The 2535-nt window shown below is 36.9% G+C and overlaps 1 annotated feature.

The window, feature by feature from the left end:
* Positions 1070-2269: an enhancer, noted in NCBI's record as "CDK7 strongly-dependent group 2 enhancer chr11:104322360-104323559 (GRCh37/hg19 assembly coordinates)". NCBI's record gives its function as "activates an origin of replication core promoter dependent on BRD2, BRD4, P300/CBP, MED14 and CDK7 cofactors, with strong dependence on CDK7, by STARR-seq in HCT116 cells {active_cell/tissue: HCT116}" and the evidence as "EXISTENCE:reporter gene assay evidence [ECO:0000049][PMID:35650434]".

The raw sequence follows: 2535 nt of genomic DNA, 5'->3' as shown, positions 1-2535 counted from the left end.
GATTCAGGAAATGAGAACTCGGCATTTATTAAAAAACGTTATCTATATAGTTCTAGATCATCAAGATATAATTGTTAGCTTTATCAATAATAAAAGGGAAATGGGTGTACTGAAAGTTTTTAAAGACTGAGTTACTTTGGGTTCAGTGTAAGTTTATCCTAATACCTGAGTATTAAGAGCTTTTTAATATAAATTCATAGAGTAATATTGAGTGAACAGTTCAAACTTTGATTTAATATTAAGTTTCCCAGAATACTAAATCTTGAAAACATAATCATTTCAAAAACAATAGATTATTATTAAAATCCCCAGGGTTAAAGATAAAACTTATACTGTGAAGACAAAAGTAAAAGTATTGAACTAAATATGAAGTTAAACAAGGGAACTAGCAATTGACATTTAGTAGAAAAGGATGAAACAGAGAGGGTTTTGTGTGTTTATGTTTAAAGATTATAACCATAAAGTGTATGGTATAAAGGTAAGTAAAGGAGCTAGACACTCCCGTGCTGTGATTTATGAGGCCCTAGAAAAACTATTCTGTTTTTTAAAATATGTTTTTTCTATCTCAACTATCTAGAATTTTATAAAACCAGAAAATTCCCCATCACTGGTATTTTTCTTTTTTCTTTTGTGATGTGTTAATCCTTTTTTCAATACAAAGTTCAACTTATAAGAAGCTCTGAGCTCTTTACATATACAAGAAATGAATTTAATCTCTCACTTTCCCTCCAACAACTAGTTGATAAGGAAAGTAATCCAGGAAGGAGGGAAATAAGGAATTTGGGTACAAATAGCATCAGGTGTGTTAGAATAATTTTAAGCAGGAGAAGGACTGCTAAAAATCACTAAATCCCTGGATTTGGAATGCTAGGCGTAGAAGACTGGGAAAAAAAAAAAAACAAGACCAGACAAAGGAGAGAAAACATTAACAGCCTCAATACCTGTGTCTCCATTTCACCCTCACTGTGGTCATAGTCAGCCTATCATACATGAACTTTTTCATTCTTTTGGAGGAATATAGCAAAGAAGGATATAGTGGAGCTACAGCAGCTTTTATGTCAATGGCCAAAGGTAATGTTGAATATGAATTTAATCTACAAAGGCAGTTACATAACTGGAGTAAAATGTGAGCCACATTCCTTTCTTCTATAGTTCACCAGCAAACACAAGTTTGGAAGCTGGTGGTTCTTCTGGACATACAAGTCTTCACACACCACTTTCTGGGACATGAGTAATGCTTCAATTTCATTGTTTCCATGGGGACAGAAAATCTCAATGTGGTACTAAGCACCAGAGGTAGAGAATCAGTGCCTTTAAGAAAAGGAAAGGTGAGATCCTGAGCCCCAAAGGACACAGGGTTATAAATAAGCTTTTATATTCTGGAACAAACCCATTTTTTCCCAAGACTATACCCCAGGATCAAGAGAGTTAAAATCCACTCATTATTTACCAATTTTACAAATGAGGAAACAAAGTATAGAAAACTGATGTGACTCAGCTGGGTGTGGTGGCTCATGCCTGTAATCTCTGCACTTTGGGAGGCCTAGGCAGGTGAATCACCTGAGGTCAGGAGCTCAAGACCACCCTGGCCAACATGGTGAAACCCCATCTCTACTAAAAATACAAAAATTACCTGGGCGTGGTGGCATATGCCTGTACTCCCAGCTACTCAGGAGGCTGAGGAAGGAGAATCGCTTGAATCCAGGAGGCAGAGGTTGCAGTGAGCTGAGATCACGCCACTGTACTCCAGCCTAAGCAACAGAGTGAGACTCTGCTAAAAAAAAAAAAAAAAAAAAAAAAAAAAGAATAAAACTGATGTGACTCACTTGGAGGTAAAATAACTAGAAGATAGCAGAGGCAGGATTTGACATCATCTCTCAGTCCAGTGCTCACTAGCCAGCTGAAATTTCCCAAGAGGATTTTGGAAAACAGCCAGAATAAATATTCCTCCAGAACATATCTGTAGAGGTGATTTCTATATAATATCATATGAAGGGAGATTATTCTTATTTTGATACATTTCAAGAATTTAACTCAGCCATTCACATTCTTGAACTATAAAATACTTACCCGTCTGCAGATAACAAGAGTAGTTTGTCAGTGTCTGTAACCAGGCATGGAAGCCAGGGAGACAACATCCAACAACAAAAAGATGGGGAGTAAAATCACAGGAAAGCTAAAAATATAGAATCCCAGAGTGAACAGAATGCAAAGTTCATTTTATCTTGAGAAAACACATTTTTATGGAAAGGGTTAAGGATGTTGAGTCCAGAGACAAATTTTTACGCCAAGATTCACAAACCAATGTAAAAGACACCTGCCTTAAACTCATTTTTTAATGAAGACTTTTCTTTTCATAACATGCTGATAGTAACAGACTAAATTTGTCTCCAGATATGCCCTTGAGAAAGATGGAAGGGAGGCTAACCTGCCAAGTGGGTCTGTCAATTCAACAGCACTTGTCTTCACTTCCAAGGGGCGGAACTAGAGGCAAACCTGTCAGTAGCCAGCAGCCACACTCCAGGAAAGCCAAGT

Source organism: Homo sapiens, chromosome 11, assembly GCF_000001405.40.
Source record: "Homo sapiens chromosome 11, GRCh38.p14 Primary Assembly".
In the NCBI taxonomy this organism is placed as follows: Eukaryota; Metazoa; Chordata; class Mammalia; order Primates; family Hominidae; genus Homo; species Homo sapiens.
Note: the sequence above shows the minus strand (reverse complement) of the source record. Positions and strands in the feature narration are given on the sequence as shown.